At 41.9% G+C, this 18,630-nt stretch overlaps 1 protein-coding gene and 2 long non-coding RNA genes across 5 annotated transcripts in view, besides 2 other annotated features; 1 reads left to right on the top strand and 2 right to left on the bottom strand.

Annotated features, from left to right (window-relative positions):
* Window positions 1–95: 95 nt before the first annotated feature.
* On the bottom strand, window positions 96–3,477 carry LOC112268244 (uncharacterized). The gene is made up of 2 exons (XR_002958414.2): window positions 3,338–3,477; window positions 96–2,764 (listed from the first exon to the last, which is right to left on the bottom strand). It is a non-coding gene; the product is annotated as an uncharacterized LOC112268244 (long non-coding RNA).
* Window positions 1,010–1,769: an enhancer, noted in NCBI's record as "active region_15034". NCBI's record gives its function as "activates an Ori minimal core promoter by ATAC-STARR-seq in GM12878 lymphoblastoid cells {active_cell/tissue: GM12878}" and the evidence as "EXISTENCE:reporter gene assay evidence [ECO:0000049][PMID:35858748]".
* ZNF614 (zinc finger protein 614) lies at window positions 1,497–16,552 on the top strand. Its single transcript, NM_025040.4, has 5 exons — window positions 1,497–1,634; window positions 3,915–4,145; window positions 11,382–11,508; window positions 11,773–11,868; window positions 12,517–16,552. Exons 2-5 carry the CDS (start codon window positions 4,131–4,133, stop codon window positions 14,034–14,036), a joined length of 1,758 nt encoding a protein of 585 aa, NP_079316.2. The 5' UTR covers window positions 1,497–1,634; window positions 3,915–4,130; the 3' UTR covers window positions 14,037–16,552.
* Window positions 2,240–3,010: an enhancer, noted in NCBI's record as "H3K27ac hESC enhancer chr19:52530119-52530889 (GRCh37/hg19 assembly coordinates)". NCBI's record gives its function as "activates a minimal SCP1, AML or CMV promoter by ChIP-STARR-seq in primed H9 embryonic stem cells {active_cell/tissue: H9 hESC(primed)}" and the evidence as "EXISTENCE:reporter gene assay evidence [ECO:0000049][PMID:30033119]".
* Window positions 7,307–18,630, bottom strand: part of LOC124904755 (uncharacterized) — a 14,272-nt gene continuing 2,948 nt past the window's right edge. The window contains exons 1-2 of one of the 3 annotated variants that reach the window (XR_007067323.1): window positions 11,677–11,778; window positions 7,307–8,625 (exon numbers count right to left, since the gene is read on the bottom strand). This is a non-coding gene — a long non-coding RNA (uncharacterized LOC124904755). Of the gene's footprint in view, window positions 8,626–11,676; window positions 11,779–18,630 lie in introns of those variants that run through there. The other 2 variants (XR_007067322.1, XR_007067321.1) reach the window with 2 other exon arrangements.

Here is an 18,630-nt window from a genome sequence, read left to right as displayed (position 1 = left end):
TTCTCTAGAAATTACAAAACGTAAGTAAAATGAAGAAATTTTAAGTCACCATAATTGTACGGAACAGTCAAATATTGTTAGTATATTCTCCAGAATTTTTCAAATGCATGAGCATATTTATTTTCTGAAAGAAAACAGCCTATTTTGCATTTATCATGCCATGAACTTATTATACATCATCATACCTATTTTCTAAGATCAACATGTTTTATAATATATTCATGATTATGGTACAAAGATAGTAAAATTAAGTATAAATTGGGAATATTTTTCAAGTAAAAACATGGCATTCTCTACCTATGAACACAAACAATATTAATTCAAACTAAATGTCTTGTTTAACCAATCACAATTTTCCAAAAGATGTTTATGATTTCTTCCAATAACAAGACCATAAAATATATACTATCCTGCAGATCATTTTTTTGTCCTCTGACAAAGTTTTCTTTTTTATAAAACAATTGTAGCATATTCTTTTAAATTGATATATACTCTTACAGTTCAGCAGATGTTCCATAATTTACCAAAGTATTCATCTCTCATTGTAATTCCCTTTTTTTGTAAATTACAAAAGTTGTGGTTAATATTAAGACAGATTTGCCTAGATAGCTTTTAGAATTGCTGTGTCAAAGAAAACGAAAAAATTAAATTGGCTCTAGGTTGCCTTCCAAAAATACAATATTTACTTAAATCTTCTACAGTTACAACGCCAACATCTGCAAAAATAGAACTAATATTTTTTAAGTGTGACTTTTTAAAAAATCTGGAAACATTGCAAAGTAGGATGATCGCATTCTAATAATTTCATATTCTTAAGTGCCCCACTGTCATCTTCCTTTACTTCTGGAAGGAAACATGTAGATATTAACACAGTTGCACCTTCACCTCCTCATCCCCTTCCCCACTGGCAGTGGTTTTAATAGCAAGCCCCATGTGGGTATTAGCATTTAATGGAGCATCACTCCTGTTCTCGGCTTCGTCCATTCAGTCAGAGTCTAATCTAACCCACAAAAGCCTTACCCAGCCCAGAACCCCCGCCCTATCCCCAAATCTAACACTTTCAGTGACCACTGGTTTTGGCAACTCTGTGACCGCTTCCTGGCCAGCACCGTGACTTCTTCAAACCTTGTTTATTTTTCCAAATTGTCCTGGATATGAGCATCTTCTCTGCCGTACGGCTGCTGCCTTCCTCTAAGATGGCCGTGCCCATGGTGCTCCAGCTAAGGCTCCACTCTCAGCTATAATGGGCACAAAGGGCGCCGCCATCTTTTTTCCACAGCAGGCTGAATAGAATGCCACTGCGCCGTGTTGGCCTTGGCTGGGCACCCGACTCTTGAGTGTCCCTTGCAACGAAGAGAGAAAGGCACTGAGGTGACTAAGAGTGATTCCCACAGCCATTATGGCCGCTCCTGTCAGAAACGCTGCGATGGGCGCAGCCCTGTGACCTCATAGAGCGGCGCCCGCAGTCTGAACTCGCGATCCCGGGCAGGCTCCGTGGTCCTCGCCTCGCTTCACGGTCTTTACCGCTCAGCTTCCCGGAGTCCGCGCAGGAGCGCGTCTGAATAGGAAGCGTTTTCGGACGTGGATGCGGCGTTTTGTCGCTGCCAGTGGTGTCTGGAGAGGTTCGGGCTCGGGTGAGTCGAGTTCTGGGCATGGACTCGCGGCCTGTGGGTCTGTGTACCGATGGTGCGTGGAGCGTCCTGATTGGGGCTGTATTTGAACGCAGTCGCTGAGGAAGCGGGGCGTTAATGACGGGTCCTTTGGCTGTAGGGATGAAGAGTCTGAGGAAATCAGCGACGAGTCCGACTCTGTCTGGGTCTGGGGCCCTTGTGAGTCACCCTTTACGGGTGTTGGGCTGGGGGACGGTCAGGTCTTTCCCTTCCCATGAGGCCCTATCTCAGGCTATCACATGGGATATTATCTTTCCTGAAGAATATAACATGTGCTCTTGAAAAAAATGTTTATTTTACTGCTGTTGAGTGCAGTGTTAAATGTTCGTTAAGTCTAGTTGGTTGATAATGTTGTTCAAGTTTTCGGTATCCTTGCTGAGTTTCTATTTGTTTTCTTTATTATTGCAAGTAGGGTAATGTAGTCTTCAATTATTATTGTTGAATTGTCTAATCCTCTCTCATTCTGTTTTGCTTCATACGTTTTTAAATTATCATATTCTTATATATACACCCTTATATTATTATTGCCAGCCATTGTAACCATTGTTGCCACTCACCTAGGCCTTGGTGTCCAGAGTTTTATTGGATATCAGTTAACACACACACACACAATTGACTGCCTATGAGGCTGACTTCAATCTCCAGCTCCTCCAGATATCAAACTAATACCACGTGGTCCAAGGTCTCCCACAGTAAATCACATTATTAGGATAGACAATTTGGCATGGCTTAAATTGCCCTGATAACCAAAGACAGTTTTATCAAGCAGCGTATTCCAAAGGCTTAGAGTTTGCCTCATAGGAACTGTGGGCAAAGGACAAAGCTCTCTTGGGTAAAGTTACTCCTTTAGCGCATAATGTGAAATGAGACAGTTCTTGTGATTTGCTTAGTACATTGGTCTTGACACGAGGTATGTATACCCAAAGAGCTTACAGAGACTTTCGAACCAGTACATGGGCACACGTGGTTTTTAAAGACATTCTTGGAGCCTTCCATGTGTTCTCTTTCCTAAAATTGATCTGTCTGAGAATTCACCTTGAAGGGGGCCACCCCTCCACAACCTGTGGGTGTTTCTTGTCAGGTGGGATGAGAGACTGAGAAAAGAAATAAGAGACAAAGTATAGAGAAAGAAAAGTGGGCCCAGGAGACCAGCACTCAGCATACGGAGGACCCACGCTGGCACTGGTCTCTGAGTTCCCTCAGTATTTATTGATCACTATCTCTACCACCTCGGAGAGGGGGATGTGGCAGGACAATAAGGTAATAGTGGGGAGAGGGTCAGCAGGAAAACATGTGAACAAAGGTCTCTGTGTCATAAATAAGTTTAAGGAAACGTGCTGTGCCTTGATGTGCACGCACACAAACATTTCGGTACAATAAAGAGCAGTATTGCCACCAGCATGTCTCACCTCCAGCCCTAAGGCGGTTTTCTCCTATCTCAGTAAATAGAACAGACAATGGGGTTTTACACGGAGACATTCCATTCCCAGGGACGAGGAGGAGACAGATGCCTTTCTCTTATCTCAACCGCAAAGAGGCCTTCCTCTTTTACTGATCCTCCTCAGCAGAGACCCTTTACAGGTGTCGGGGTAGGGGACGGTCAGGTCTTTCCCTTCCCACGAGGCCATATCTCAGGCTATCATATGGGGAGAAACCTTGGACAATACCTGGTTTTCCTAGGCAGAGGTCCCCGCGGCCTTCCGCAGTGTATTGTGTCTCTGGGTAGTTGAGATTAGAGAATGGTGATGACTTTTACCAAGCATACTGCCTTCAAGCACGTTTTTAACAAAGCACATCCTGCACAGCCCTAAATCCATTAAACCTTGAGTCAACACAGCACATGTCTCTGCTAGCATAGGGTTGGAGCTAGGGTTACAGATTAACAGCATCTCAAGGCAGAAGAATTTCTCTTAGTACAGAACAAAATGGAGCCTCTTATGTCTACTTCTTTCTGCATAGACACAGTAACAGTCTGATCTCTCTTTCTTTTCCCCAGACACCTGCCTCTGAGGCATTGTGCTGTGCTGGTTCTGCTTTCCCACCTTCTCTATAATAGTCATGCCACTTCTACTTCACAAAAGAAAGGCATAGATTTCACACATTTAGAACCATGAAAACCTCTGAGGCAGCAAATAAAGGAACTGTTAGAAATATTAGGGTCTTTTATTTAAGGTAAGTGCAGAGCAGCAGTGACAATGTCTGGACCCAGGGTTAATGTACACTGAAAGCCATTTTGTTTATCAGTCCTCAGGTCCTGGCTCCCAGAAGCAAAATAACTCAAGTGAAGCAATGAAGGAAGAAGAAGGAGGTTGCTGGCCTTGGATATCATAATTTCTGGGGACAACTTTAAGTGGACACTAATATTTCTGACTAGGAAAACTTCAAAAACTTCATGGCAAATGCAGAAGAGACAAAGACGTATAGTCCATGTTATCCACTATTTTCTGAGCACAGAAGAAAATGATCAAGACCCAGGTGATATTTTCCCTTTGATTTTTTGATAGATTTATGGTGGCCTGAAGAAGTCAGTTGAACTTAAGGAAGTATATACTGGGATAATTGTGTTCTAGGGAGAAATTAACTTACATTGCTTTTGGGAGTAGAGGTGGGGGTTCATTCTGCCTTAAGAAGTAGATTCTGGATCGCTTGAGCTCAGGAGTTCAAGACCAGCCTGGGCAACATGGTGAAACCCCGTCTCTACAAAAAATACAAAAATTAGCTGGGTGTGGTGGTGCACACCTGTAATCCCAGCTACTCGGGAGGCTAAGGTGGGAGAAGAATTGCTAGAGCTCAGGAGGACGAGGCTACAGTGAGCCATGTTTGCACCACCGCACTCCAACCTGGGTGACAAAGTAAGACCCTGTCTCAAAAAGAAGGAAAAAAAAGTAGACTCAATATGAAAGAATCCATGCTTTGTTGGTAGTTCAACTTTTGACCATTACAATGATACATGAATCACCCACCACTCAAGAAGGAACTATGGTTGTCATTTTAATGTACATACTCCAGACCATTTTTGGAATATTGGCATTCTTTGCATGCTGGTGCCTGCCAACCAACTTTTTTAAAATTACTAATTTATTTATTTATTTATTTTGAGACAGAGTCTTGCTCTGTTGCCCAGGCTGGAGTGCAGTGGCGCAGTCTTGGCTCACTGCAAGCTCTGCCTCCCAGGTTCACGCCATTCTCTTGCCTCAGCCTCCCAAGTAGTTGGCAGGAGACAGATGCCTTCCTCTTATCTCAACTGCAAAAAGGCCTTCCTCTTTTTCTAATCCTCCTCAGCACAGACCCTTTACGGGTATCCCCCGGTGTCATGCTGGGGGACGGTCAGGTCTTTCCCTTCCCACGAGGCCATATCTCAGGCTATCACTTGGGAAGAAACCTTGGACAATACCTGGCTTTCCTAGGCAGAGGCCCCTGTGGCCTTCTGCAGTGTGTTGTGTCCCTGGGTACTTGAGATTAGAGAATGGTGATGACTTTTAACAAGCATACTGCCTTCAAGTGCTTTTTTAACAAAGGACATTCTGCATAGCCCTAAATCCATTAAACCTTGAGTCAACACAGCACATATTTCTGCGAGCACAGGGTTAGGGCTACGGTTACAGATTAACAGCATCTCAAGGCAGAAGAATTTCTCTTAGTACAGAACAAAATGAAGTCTCTTACGTCTACTTCTTTCTACATAGACACAGTAACAGTCTGATCTCTCTTTCTTTTCCCCACATCTGACACCAGATATGTGGGGTTTTTCCCACACATCAATTCAATTCTCCATACCTATTAGGTATTCTAAAATTTACTCAATTCTGACACTAATTGTCTAGACTTAGGACAGACTCCACAGGTTGAGGGCTCAGTCCCACAATACTGCCCCCCTGAAAAGTGCTGGGTCCCCAGGTTACTCACAAGTTCTTTTGGACTTGGCTACCAATTGGATGTCCCCACAACCCCCTTCTCAGATCTATTCATCTGCTAGAAGGCTCAAAAAATGCAGGAAGACAGTTTACTTACTAGATTACTGGCTTATTATGAAAGGGTACAACTCAGGAATGGCCAGTTGGAAAAGATGCATAGGTCAGGTAATGGGGAAGGGCCTCAGGGCTTCCATGCCCTTTCTGGGTATTCTACCCTCCCAGGACTACCCTATGTTCAGCAGCCTGGAAGCTCTCAACCTCATCCTTTTATTGTTTTGGTGGGTTCATTACATAGGCATAATTTATTAATTCATTAACTATTGGTGGTAAGCTCAATTTCCATCACCTCTCCCTTCCACAGAGGTCAGGGGTTGGTTGGAGAGGTGAGACTGAAAGTTCCAACTGTCTGTCACAAGGTTGGTTCCCCTGGCAACCAGCTCCCTTCCTGAGGCCATGGAAGAGCCCCAGGCACCAGTCATCTCAATAGCATATAAAAGACACTTCAGCAATTCCAAAGATTTGGAGGGCAGAGACCAAATGTATATTTATTTTTCACAGTCTGGTATATAGAAAGTGACACGGATAAGTATATTTGGTCATTGTTCCCAGTTCATGGCACAGTATGCTTAAAACCCTTGGAATTTCTTCCTGAGAAATAGGTGTGTCTTTTGTTATTCATAAGGAAACCCTGTGATACACCTGAATTTCTGCTCATGAGGTGACTACTCATGAGACCTCTAGATAGTGTCAGGATGAGACTGGTCCCCAGAAAGACCAAGCAATTAGAGGATTGGAACTGAAAGGAGGAATGGACTGGAGAGTAAGTTCTATAAAAACTCTTGAACAGGCTGGGCATGGGGGCTCGCGCCTGTAATCCCGAGCGGATCATGAGGTCAAGAGATCGAGACCATCCTGGCCTACATGGTGAAAGCCCGTCTCTACTAAAAATACAAAAATTAGCTGGGCGTGGTGGCACGTGCCTATAGTCCCAGCTACTCAGGAGGCTGAGGCAGGAGAATCCCTTGAACCCGGGAGGTGGAGGTTGCAGTGAACTGAGATCGTGCCACTGCACTCCAGCCTGGGTGACAGAGCGATACTCCATCTCAAAAAAAAAAAAATTTTATTTATTATTATTATTGTTTTGAGACAGAGTCTCGCTCTGTCGCCCAGGCTGTGAGTTTTTTTCTTTTTTTTTTTTTCTTTTTTTTTTTTTGAGATGGCGTCTCACTCTGATGCCCAGGCTGGCGGGCACTGGCATGATCTTGGCTCACTGCAAGCTCCGCCTCCGGATTCATGCCATTCTCCTGCCTCAGCCTCCTGAGTAGCTGGGACTACAGGCACCCACCACCACACCCGGCTAATTTTTTGTACTCTTGAACAAGCTTCAGGTTTGTGAACATACCAGGGTGCTGGGAGGATGCCACACGCAGAGAGGAATGGAAGCTTGGCACACCCTCTTCCATATCTTGCCCTATGCATTTCTTCAGTCTGGCTGTTCCTCAGTTATATCCTCTATTATTAACTAGGTACCATAGGTAAAGTGTTTCCTGAGTTCTATGAGCTGTTCTAGTAAATTATCAAACCTGAGGAGGGGTTTGTGGGAGCCTCTAATTTATAGCCAGTTAGTCAGAAATACTGGTAGCCCAGGACTTGTGACTGGCATCTTAAGAGGAGGCAGTCTTTTTTTTTTTTTTTTAAATTATATATTCTCCAATTTAAAAATTTTAATTGAAAAGTAAACTTTAATGTCGAAAATGCAAACTTGGGGAGGGCAGAAAGATCACACACAAGGCTGTCACTTCACACTTGGAGGGTCGCACAGCAGCCGCGCAAAGGCGCTCCTCACTTCCCAGACGTTGCGGGGGCCAGGCAGAGGCACTCCTCACTTCCCAGATGGCGGCGGTGGTGTGGGGCGGCCGGGCAGAGGTGCTCCTCACTTCCCAGATGGTGGGCGGCTAGGCAGAGGCGCTTCTCACTTCCCAGACAGTGGGGCGGCCGGGCAGAGGAACTCAAGAGGAGGCAGTCTTGTAGGATTGAACCCTTAAATCTGTGGATTCTGACAAAGATAGTGTCAGAATTGAATTGAATTGTTGGACATCTAGTTTATGTTTAGATAATTGGAGAATTGGTTGTTAGTGTTGGAAAACACTGCACAAAAACATTCAGTGCTGCAAATCTTGCCAACACTTACTATGTTATCAAATTGTGTATTTTCCATGATCTAGATGATCCAGTATTATTTTGCCTTATTTTGCATTTTCCCATTCACCAGTGAGGTTCAGATCCTTCTCATCTCTTTGTTGTTTCTTTGGATTATTTATTCTGTCATAAAGTGTCTTTAGTCTTTGTTCATTTAATTTTTTTGTGGTCTTACTGATTTATAATTGTTTATCTTGACTGGATATTGATTCTTTTATATGTTGCAAATATTTTTCTAGAGTCTTACTTCTCTTTTAGCTTGTTCAAAATATTTTTTCCCATGCAGAAGTCATTTTTTTTAAAGCTTTTTACTTATATCATGAACATGTTTTCATTTATTCCTTTTTTTTTTTTCTTTATTTGAGACAGGGACTCGCCCTCTTCCCCAGGATGGAGTGCAGTAGCACAATTATGGCTCACTGCAGCCTCAACCACCATCTGCCTGCCTTAGCCTCCTGAATAGCTGAGACCACAGGCATCCACTACCACACCCAGCTAATTTTTTGTTCTTTGTAGAGAATAGAGACAGAGTCTCACTATGTTGCTCAGGTTGGTCTCAAACTCCTGGGCTCAAACTCTCCTCTGGAAGTACTGTAATTACAGATGTGTGCCCCACTCCTGGCCTCATAAGTTCTTCTTAAGTTTACATCTTATATTCATTGTCTATTAATACCTAAGAAATTACTCCAAAAGGTAGTGACTTGAAACAACACTTAAAAAAAAAAATCTCACACTTTCTGTGGCTCAGGAATAAGGGCATGGCTTACCTGGCTACTTTGATTCACAGTCTCTCATGGGGGTTGTCGTCAAGGTGTTAGCTGGGTTGGAATCTGATCTGAAGGCTGAAATGGGGAAAGATGCAGTTCTAAGCTCACTTATGTGGTTGTTGGGAGGATTCATTTCCAGAATGAGAAATGAGGTAGTTTAGTTGAGGTCCTCAGTTTCTACCTGTCTGTTTGTCAAAGCCCACTTTTAGTTTTTTGTCACATGCACCTCCCCTATGTGCCAAATTGTTTAATCAAAGCTAGAAAATGACAGATTCTGCTAGCAAGATGGAAGTCATATAGAGTGTAATCTTAAAGTGGCATCTTGTCACTTTTGCTGTATTCTTTTCTTTAGAAACAAGCTTTTAGGCCACTTCATACTCAGGAGGATGGTACTGCACAGGGGCAGGAACACCTAGAGTGTAATAAAGAATTTGGCTAGCCTTTGTTTTCGTTCCTGGGAGGTAACCTCTAAACCCTTGTAATTACCCAAGTTATGAGTGTCTCTGTCATTCATGGTGGGCCACTCATATTTGATAGTTTATATCTATATGTATAGTGGTGACTCATAGTAGATCCCTAGATAATTTATGGCAATGACATGACTCTGGATAGGGGCTGCCCATGCCAAAAAGCGCACTAAGTGATTAGAGAGTTGTGGCTTTGAGCCATGTAATACCAGTCAGGAAGGGGAGGGAACTGGAGACTGAACTCAGCTACATGGGCAATGCTTCAATAAACTGTGCCTACATCATGAAGTCTCAATAAAATCTCTGGACATCAAAGTTTAGGTGCGCCTCGCTGGCTGGCAAGTACTCTTGAATATTGTTACACAATGTAGTCAGGAAGATGTAATGCCACCAAGGATTCCATGAGGAGAGGACAGTCAGCAGCTTTGTGTTTGGAACCTTCCCAGACCTCACCCTGTGCATATTTTCCTTTAGCTGATTCTGATTTGTGTCATTTTGCAATAGTAAAGTGCTAATTGTAAACACAGCACTTTCTTGGGTTCTCTGAGTTGTTCTATCAAGTTATTAAACCTGAGGGAGTCATGGTAGCTCCACACATTTGTAGCCAGCTCGCTGGAGTTGAGGGTGGTCTGTGTAGCCTTAAGCTTGCAGCTTGTGTCTGAAGTGAGGGCAGTCTTGTGGAGGATTGTGCTTTTAACCTGGGAAGTTTGGCCTAACCCAGGTAGTTGATGTCAGAAGTCACTGCAGCTAGAGAATGAGATTATCAGAGGACACCTTAGAGTTGGCCTGCAAGATTTCCATCCAGTAATAAATTCTTTTGGACTGTGGAGTGAGGTAGAAATTTAACTTTACACTTACCCAGTCGATAGACATCTCACATAAAGATTTTGGAATGAGATAAACTGACCAGGCTTGAGCACTTGCGCACTCTCATGAGTCTACTTTCTTGACTATGCAGCATCCCACACAGTAATATAGCATAGATTCTCTTATCAGTATTTCCTTGGATCTTAGTTACCTCTACTTCACACTCTGCAGTTCTCTGAAAAGTTATTGTGAAGCAGGAGAATGACAGTTTAGTTGACAAACAGGTCCTTGATATCATGGTTGTAAGACAGCAAGTCATCTGCTAGCCATGTGTTTTAATCCCAAATGGCCTTCCAAAATTGGCCTTTTTTGTTGCAAGAATTAGGACTTTGAAGATTGTATTCCATACGTTTCTGGATTCTATTATTGAAATGTCAGCCATCAGTATATTTTGTTATTTCTTTGTAGGTAATCTGTCTTTTGTCTCTTGATGATTCTATAGTTTTCCCTTTGCATTTGATGTATGGTAGTTTCAGTCTGATGTGTCACACCAGTTGTGACTTCCTGCTCTGAACTTGTTGGGATTTCTGAATTTGAGATTTGAGGTATTTAGTTCTGAAATATTTTAGGTTTTGGATATTTATTAATAGATATTGCTTCTCTATTACACTATTTTCCCTTTTAGAAACCATAAGTGGGCATACACTAGGTCTTGCAACTCTGTATTTCATATTTATTAACTTCTTTGTTATGATTTATCTTTTTTCTCTGTACTGCATTTTCTGCCATTTCCACTTATATATTCCAATTCACCAATAATCTTCAATGTATCTAATATGCTGTTAATCTGTCCATTAATACACATATGTATATATGTTTTTCTGTTAGAAGTTTTTTTTTGCTGGGCGCAGTGGCACACACCTGTAATCCCAGCACTTTGGAAGGCCGAGGCAGGAGGATCTCTTGAGGCCAGGACTTCAAGACCAGCCTGGTCAACATAACAAGACCCTGTCACTACAAAAATTGGTAGTAGCATCCACCTGTAGTCCTAGTTACTTGAGAGGCTGAGGTGGGAAGGTCGCTTGAGCTTAGGAGTTCAAGGTTGCATTGAGCTATTACTGTGACACTGCACTCCATTTGGGGCTACAGAGCAAGACCATCTCTCTTTAAAAATTAAAAAATAAATAAAAATCTAATCAACTTTAGGGGCCTTTTGTGCTTTATACAGATATAGTTTCATCTTTTCTCTTACATTTATTTAAAAGCACTATTTTATGAATTCAAGATGTGAAGTCTATTCATGACAGATCCTTATATTGGTTGTGAAGTCATTGGTAATGTAGGGATGTTTTATTTGTCCTGATGTCATTTGCCTACGTTTAATATTTAGAAATAGGCGCTAAAATGTATAGATAGAGGATTTTGCTCCTACCAAAGTATATTTGAGAAAGGAATATAGATGCAGGCTGTATTGTGAAAATTTTTAAAAAATTATCTTATACTTCTATATTAACAATAGGAGTTTATATCATATTGAATAGGACTTTGTAATTACAGGAATCACTGACCCTGGAGGATGTGGCTGTGGAATTCAGCTGGGAGGAGTGGCAGCTCCTGGACACTGCTCAGAAGAACCTGTACCGGGATGTGATGGTGGAGAACTATAACCACCTAGTATCACTGGGTAAGAATAGTTTCCCTGTGTCACCTAGAGGTGCCTACAATGCCCAGACACCGTCCTATGCTCACCTAATCAAAGCTTTACAGTCACTGTGGTGTTTGGAAGAGTTACATTTTCAGTCCCCTCTCTGACCCCAAAGTGGTATAATCTCTTCTAAGACAGAATGCTTACTTTGAAATTGTTTTCTTCATCGAATGTATTATTTTTCCATCTTGACATACTGGACTCCAATTCAGGATGTTTGTGTTTGTCTTTCCTCATGAACAGGGTATCAAACTAGCAAACCAGATGTACTCTCCAAGTTGGCACATGGACAAGAACCATGGACAACAGATGCTAAAATTCAGAATAAAAATTGTCCAGGTAAGTGAGAACCAGCAAGGACAGTGGCTATAGGAGTCTTATTGTAGTCATTAAGGAAAGGTGTCACATATATGAAGTATCTGAGGGTACCTAAGCAGCTCCACTATATATTCATCTCCCCATCTGATAACTTTTTTAATGCTGTTATAGCTTTAAAGACTTTTTGTCTTTTCTTGGATCTGATTTCTTGGATATATTTCAGCTTATATCTTCATAATTTCCTTTTATACTGGGATCGTAGAGTTGACAATAAAGAGCCAGCCCCCAGCAAATCATCTCATAAGCTAAGATTTTTTTTTTTTTTTTTTAGACTGAGTCTCGCTCTATCACCCAGGCTGGAGTGCAATGGCCCAATCTCGGCTTGCTGCAACCTCGTCCTCCTGGGATCAAGTGATTCTCCTGCCTCAGCCTCCTGAATAGCTGGGATTACAGGCATGTGCCACCACGCCCGGCTAATTTTGTAATTTTAGTAGAGACGGGGTTTCACCACATTGGTCAGGCTGGTCTTGAACTCCTGACCTCGTGATCTGCCCGCCTCAGCCTCCCCAAGTGCTGGGATTGCAGGCATGAGCCACCGTGCCCGGCCTCATAAGCATTTTTATCTCATACAATTCTCATGGAAGAATTTGTTACTCTGTTCTTTCTTAGGAATCGGGAAAGTTGACAGTCATCTGCAAGAGCACTCTCCAAACCAAAGACTTCTGAAGAGCGTGCAGCAATGCAATGGACAGAATACACTTAGAAATATTGTACATCTCAGCAAGACACATTTTCCTATAGTGCAAAATCATGATACATTTGACTTGTACAGAAAAAATTTGAAATCAAGTTTAAGTTTAATCAACCAGAAGAGAAGACATGGAATAAATAACCCTGTTGAGTTTATTGGAGGTGAGAAAACACTTCTACATGGTAAGCATGAACGTACGCATACTAAAACTAGATTTTCTGAAAATGCAAAATGTATCCATACTAAATTCCAAGTCTTCAAGCATCAGAGGACTCAGAAAATTGAGAAACCCCATGCATGCATTGAATGTGAGCAAACCTTCCTTAGGAAGTCTCAGCTCATTTACCATGAGAACATTTGTATACAAGAGAATCCTGGAAGTGGTCAATGTGAGAAATTATCCAGAAGTGTCCTGTTCACTAAGCATCTGAAAACTAATACAACAGACAAAATCTGTATACCCAATGAATATAGAAAAGGCTCTACTGTGAAGAGTAGTCTCATTACACATCAACAAACCCATACAGAAGAGAAATCCTATATGTGCAGTGAGTGTGGAAAGGGCTTTACAATGAAGCGCTATCTAATTGCTCATCAGCGAACTCATAGTGGAGAGAAACCTTATGTGTGCAAAGAATGTGGAAAAGGTTTCACTGTGAAGAGCAATCTCATTGTACATCAGCGAACTCATACAGGGGAGAAACCCTATATATGCAGTGAATGTGGAAAAGGCTTCACCATGAAGCGCTATCTTGTTGTACATCAGCGAACTCATACTGGAGAGAAACCCTATATGTGCAGTGAATGTGGAAAAGGCTTTACCGTGAAGAGCAATCTCATTGTACATCAGCGCTCCCACACAGGAGAAAAATCTTACATATGCAGCGAATGTGGAAAAGGCTTCACTGTCAAACGCACTCTCGTTATACATCAGCGAACTCATACAGGAGAGAAATCTTACATATGCAATGAATGTGGTAAAGGCTTCACCACAAAGCGCACTCTTATTATACATCAGCGAACTCATACAGGAGAAAAACCCTATGAATGCAATGAATGTGGTAAAGCCTTCAGCCAGAAAATATGCCTCATACAACATGAGAGATGTCATACAGGAAAGACTCCCTTTGTATGTACCGAGTGCGGAAAATCCTATTCACACAAATATGGCCTCATTACCCATCAGAGAATTCACACAGGAGAGAAACCTTATGAGTGCAATGAATGTGGAAAAGCCTTCACCACAAAGTCAGTACTCAATGTACATCAAAGAACGCATACAGGAGAGAGGCCGTATGGATGCAGTGATTGTGAGAAAGCCTTCTCCCACTTATCAAACCTTGTCAAACATAAGAAAATGCACACAAGAGAAATGGGTAGAATCAGTCAAGTTGAAAACTCCTGTAATGGAGAGTCACAGCTCCTTCCTTATAAGTGAACTCATGCAGAAGAAAACCCTACTAGTGCCGTGACTATGGAAATGCCTTTTGTGGCAACTCAGACTTCATTAAACATCAGTGTGTTTCTAGCCAATTGGAACATAAACATGGTGCTGCCTGTTGACAGATGTGTGTCTGTCCTCAGGAGGTGAAATAATTTGCCCTAGAGATCAATTTGATGAATACAGTAAATAAGGTAGTGCCTTTAGTGGTCTTTTACCTCATATTTTCTGTCAATGAAAATACGTTGAATAAACTATATTAATGTGGAGATGTTTTGAGCAATAATTTCTGCTCATATGTCTGAAAAGTATACAGAGATAAATTCTGTGAATACAAAGACTAAGAAAAGTCTTCTGTGGAAAGATAGACTTTATTATCAGGTTTCATCATAGATTTCAACGTAAGTGAGCTTATTGTTGATAGAAACATGATGACCATGACAAAGTCTTTACTCAGAAATATGACCTCAGTGAGTGTCAAAGTTTACACTGGAAAATAACTTTAAGGTGACAGTATTGATGGCAGGATTTCAGCGACGCACTCTGCTTCATCATTTGTCAGGAGATCACATAGAAAGTAAAATTGTTCCGAACATGCTATCAAATAAATGTGGAACACCTTTAGCAAACTATCAACAGCTCATGAAGGCATGAAATGTGGTGAAAATGATGAATATTTGAGTGCTTTTTCTTAATAAGTATAACCTTAAACATCAGCTAATACACCTGGTGTGCATTTTCAGTCAGGATACCTTAATCCTCATTTCTAGTTGCCTTGCCAATGATTCCATAATATACTGTCTCATTACTGTTTATTTTTACTGTTGTGTAAAATTGTGGTATAATGAGAAATACATTTGGTCTTTGTTCCTGGTTCCTGGCATAGAGCTCCTAAAACGCTTAGAATTTCATGAGTGATAAGAGTTTTTTGGTTTTGTTTTGTTTTTGCTGTTGTTGTTATTCATAGCACTGCCCTTTTAATTACACCTGATTATACTACTGAAGTGACTTATGGTTGCTCCCCTAGACAGCCTCAGAATGGGGCTGTTCTCTAGGAAGATCAAGTAACTAGAGGATGGAGACTTTGTGCCCCATTTCTCCCACCTCCTGGAAGGGGAGGGGTGCTGGAGATTAGATTAGACAATGAGATTAAGAGAACTCCAAATAGCCCAAGAGGGTGGTGCACCCCCAACTTCATAGGGGTAGAGGCTCCTGAGATTAGGAGAACCCTTTTTAGGCTTTACTCTATGTACCTCTTCATTTGAGTGTTCATTTGCGTCCTTTATAACCAGTAAAACAAAGTACGCTGTTTTCTTGAGTTTTGTGAGCCCTGTAGCAAATTATCAAACCTGAGTAGGGCAGTGGGAACTCGGAATTTATCACCATTCAGAACTGCAGGTTGTCCTTGTGAGTGGCATCTGATGTGGGGGAAGTCTTGGACTGAGCCCCTTAACTTGTGGAGTCTGCACTAATTTAGACTGCACTAACTAACTTGCACTGCACTAACTTGGACTGCACTAACTTGTGGAGTCTGCACTAACTTGGAGAAGTTAGTGTCAGAATTGAATTATAGAACACCCAGTTGTTCAGAATTGAATTGTAGAACACCCAATTGGTGTGGGAGAATTAGAGAATTTATTTGTGTCAGAAAATACTCCAGAACAACCACCCCATATTATGATTAGCTCTTTTCCTTTCTTTGGCTCTGAGCTTAATTGTACATTAAGCAAACTTAAGTAGAAAAGAAACTGAATATGTTAAATATATTAACAACATATTTGGACTTGCTTAACTAAGATTATAGAGATGATCAGTTTATAAAACCACCTTCAACTTAAATAAATTTGAACTCGAAATTGCAAAAGCAGTCTAGAGGCTTTGCTAGTATCCTTCAACCAATTTCTAGTAAAAATATCCTATATAACCATAATTATCAAAACCAGAAAAACAACATTGGTAGGATACTATAAAGTACTAATCTTATTTTGGATTTGACGAATTTTTACATGTTTTTTTCTTTTTTAGTTTGTACTCTAAGAAGTTGTATTACATGTACAGATTCGTGTAACCACTGCAACCACATAAAACTAATGAACACAAAGTCCCTCATGCTACCTTTTTATGCTTACACTCCATCCAAACCTAACTCTGCCAACCACTTTTCTCCTATCAGTATAATTTCATCATTTCATGAATATGATAAAAATAAAATTGTTTTTGTAAATGGTTTTTATAAATTTTATATAAATAAGTTATATGAATTTTTATTGATAGAGAGTATGTAAGCTTTTGGCATTTTTGTCACTCAGCAAATTACTCCTAAGGTTTATATGAGTTGATGAATAGTTGTTTTATTATTTTTTTTTACCACCATGTATCTAACCAGATGAAAGTTGTTTATATTTGAGAGTAGTATACATATTTGATGTAGTAGTTTATCCATTCACCTATGAGATATATTTGCACTGTTTTCCTGGTTTTAAGTGCTATAAATAAAGATGCTGTGAAATCTACATACAGCTTTTGCTTTTGCTTTTTTTTTTTTAGGATTTACAATCTTAACCTCTTTTTTTTCTTTTTTAAGAGACAGGGTCTCTTGAGAGGCCGAGGCAGGCGGATCACTTGAGGTCAGAAGTTCAAGACCAGCCTGGCCAACGTGGCGAAACCCTGTGTCTACTAAAAATACACACAAAAAATTAGCTGGGTATGGTGCTGGGCTGTTGGGAGCCGAAGGCCCATGGGATGTGACCAACTCAGCATTCCACTGGAGGCTATATGATCAAACAGCAAACTTTATCATGAATGCACGATGTGGGCAAACTCATGACTGCTTCCGCTGCCAGAAGGTTTGCTGAGGGCAATCGCTTCCTGGTGCTGAGCTCCTTGAGGTTATCTACTGGGACATCTAGAGAATGCCATCTTGCAAACCCTACTCTGGACTGAGTAGCTGACCCCTTCTTCCACCCGCCTTCTCACTATCTCTTTTGCCTAATAAATATGGAGGGCTGTGTAAAGCTCAGGGCCCTTGTCCACTAGAGGCAAGGTGTCCCCTGATCCCTTCTTCCAAATATACTCTTTTGTCTCTTTTATTCCCGTTTCCCCCACTTTTTTCAGTCCCCCTAGGTCCTTGTGGGTTACGTAGTGGCGCCCCAAACAGTGACAGGATCGGGCGCTCTACAGTTGGCGCCTGTAATCCCAATTACTTGTGAGGCTGAGGCAGGAATCACTTGAACCTGGGAGGCAGAGGTTGCAGTGAGCTGAGATCCTGCCACTGCACTCCAGGCCTGGGCAACGGAATAGGCTCTGTCTGAAAAACAAACAAAAACAACAAAAAAAAGAGTCTCTGTTGCCTAGGCTGGAGTGCAGTGGTGCGATTATAGCTCACTGCAGCCTCAAACTCCTGGGTTCAAGTGTTCCTCCTGCGTCAGCCTCCCATGTAGGTGGGACTATGTGTGTGCACCCTCATGCCTGGCTTTTTTTTTTTTTTTTTTTTTTTTTGTAGAGACAGCATGTTTTAGGCCATTCTTGCATTGCTATAAATAAATACTTGAGGCTGGATAATTTATAAGAAAAGAGGTTTAATTGGCTTATGATTCTACAGGCTGTACAGGAAGCATAGCACTGGCATCTGGTCCTGGGGAGGCCTCAGGAAGCTTACAATCATGGTGGAAGGTGAAGAGGGAGCAGGAGTAAGACAGAGTGGAGGGGGTAGGTGCTGCACACTCAAATAGCTAGATCTTGCTAGTACTCACTCACTATTGCAAGGGCAGCATCAAGCCATGAGGGATCTGCCCCCATGACTGAGACACCTCCCACCAGGCCCCACCTTCAACATTGGGGATTACATTTCCTTTTTTTTTTTTTTTTTTTGAGATGGAGTCTCGCTCTGTCTCCCAGGCTGGAGTGCAGTGGGACGATCTCGGCTCACTGCAAGCTCTGCCTCCTGGGTTCACACCATTCTCCTGCCTCAGCCTCCCGAGTGGCTGGGACTACAGGCGCCCGCCACCATGCCCAGCTAATTTTTTTTTTGTATTTTTAGTAGAGACAGGGTTTCACCATGTTAGCCAGGATGGTCTCTATCTCCTGGTCTTGTGATCCACCTGCCTCGGCCTCCCAAAGTGCTGAGATTACAGGTGTGAGCCACCACGCCCGGCTGACATTGGGAATTACATTTCAACATGAGATTTGGACAGGGACAAATATCCAAACTATATCATTCAGCCCCTGGTCTCCCTCCCCAACAAATCTCATGTCCTCACATTGTAAAATACCATCATGCCTTCCTAAGAGTCCCCAAAGTCTTAACTCATTCCAGCATTAACTCAAAAGTCCAAAGTCTTATCTGAGACAAGGCAAGTCTCTTCTACCTATGAGCCTGTAAAATAAAAAGTTATTTGCTTCCAAGATACAATGGGGGCATAGACGTTGGGTAAACATTCCCATTCCAAAAGGGAGAAAGCCACAAGAAAGGGCTATAGGTTCCATGCAAGTTCAAAACCCAGCAGGGTAGTCATTAAATCTAGTGCAAGGCGTGGGTTCCCAAGGCCTTGGGCATCCTCTGCTCATGGGGCTCCCTCAGGCAGACATCATG

The sequence above is a fragment of the Homo sapiens genome, chromosome 19, assembly GCF_000001405.40.
Source record: "Homo sapiens chromosome 19, GRCh38.p14 Primary Assembly".
Taxonomy (NCBI): Eukaryota; Metazoa; Chordata; class Mammalia; order Primates; family Hominidae; genus Homo; species Homo sapiens.
The sequence above is the reverse complement of the archived record's forward strand: the minus strand, read 5'-3'. Positions and strand labels throughout refer to the sequence as shown.

Coding starts and splice junctions, on each gene's coding strand:
- ZNF614 (NM_025040.4), top strand. Junction 11,509..11,772: donor TAACCACCTAGTATCACTGG/GTAAGAATAGTT, acceptor CCTCATGAACAG/GGTATCAAACTAGCAAACCA. Junction 11,869..12,516: donor TCAGAATAAAAATTGTCCAG/GTAAGTGAGAAC, acceptor GTTCTTTCTTAG/GAATCGGGAAAGTTGACAGT.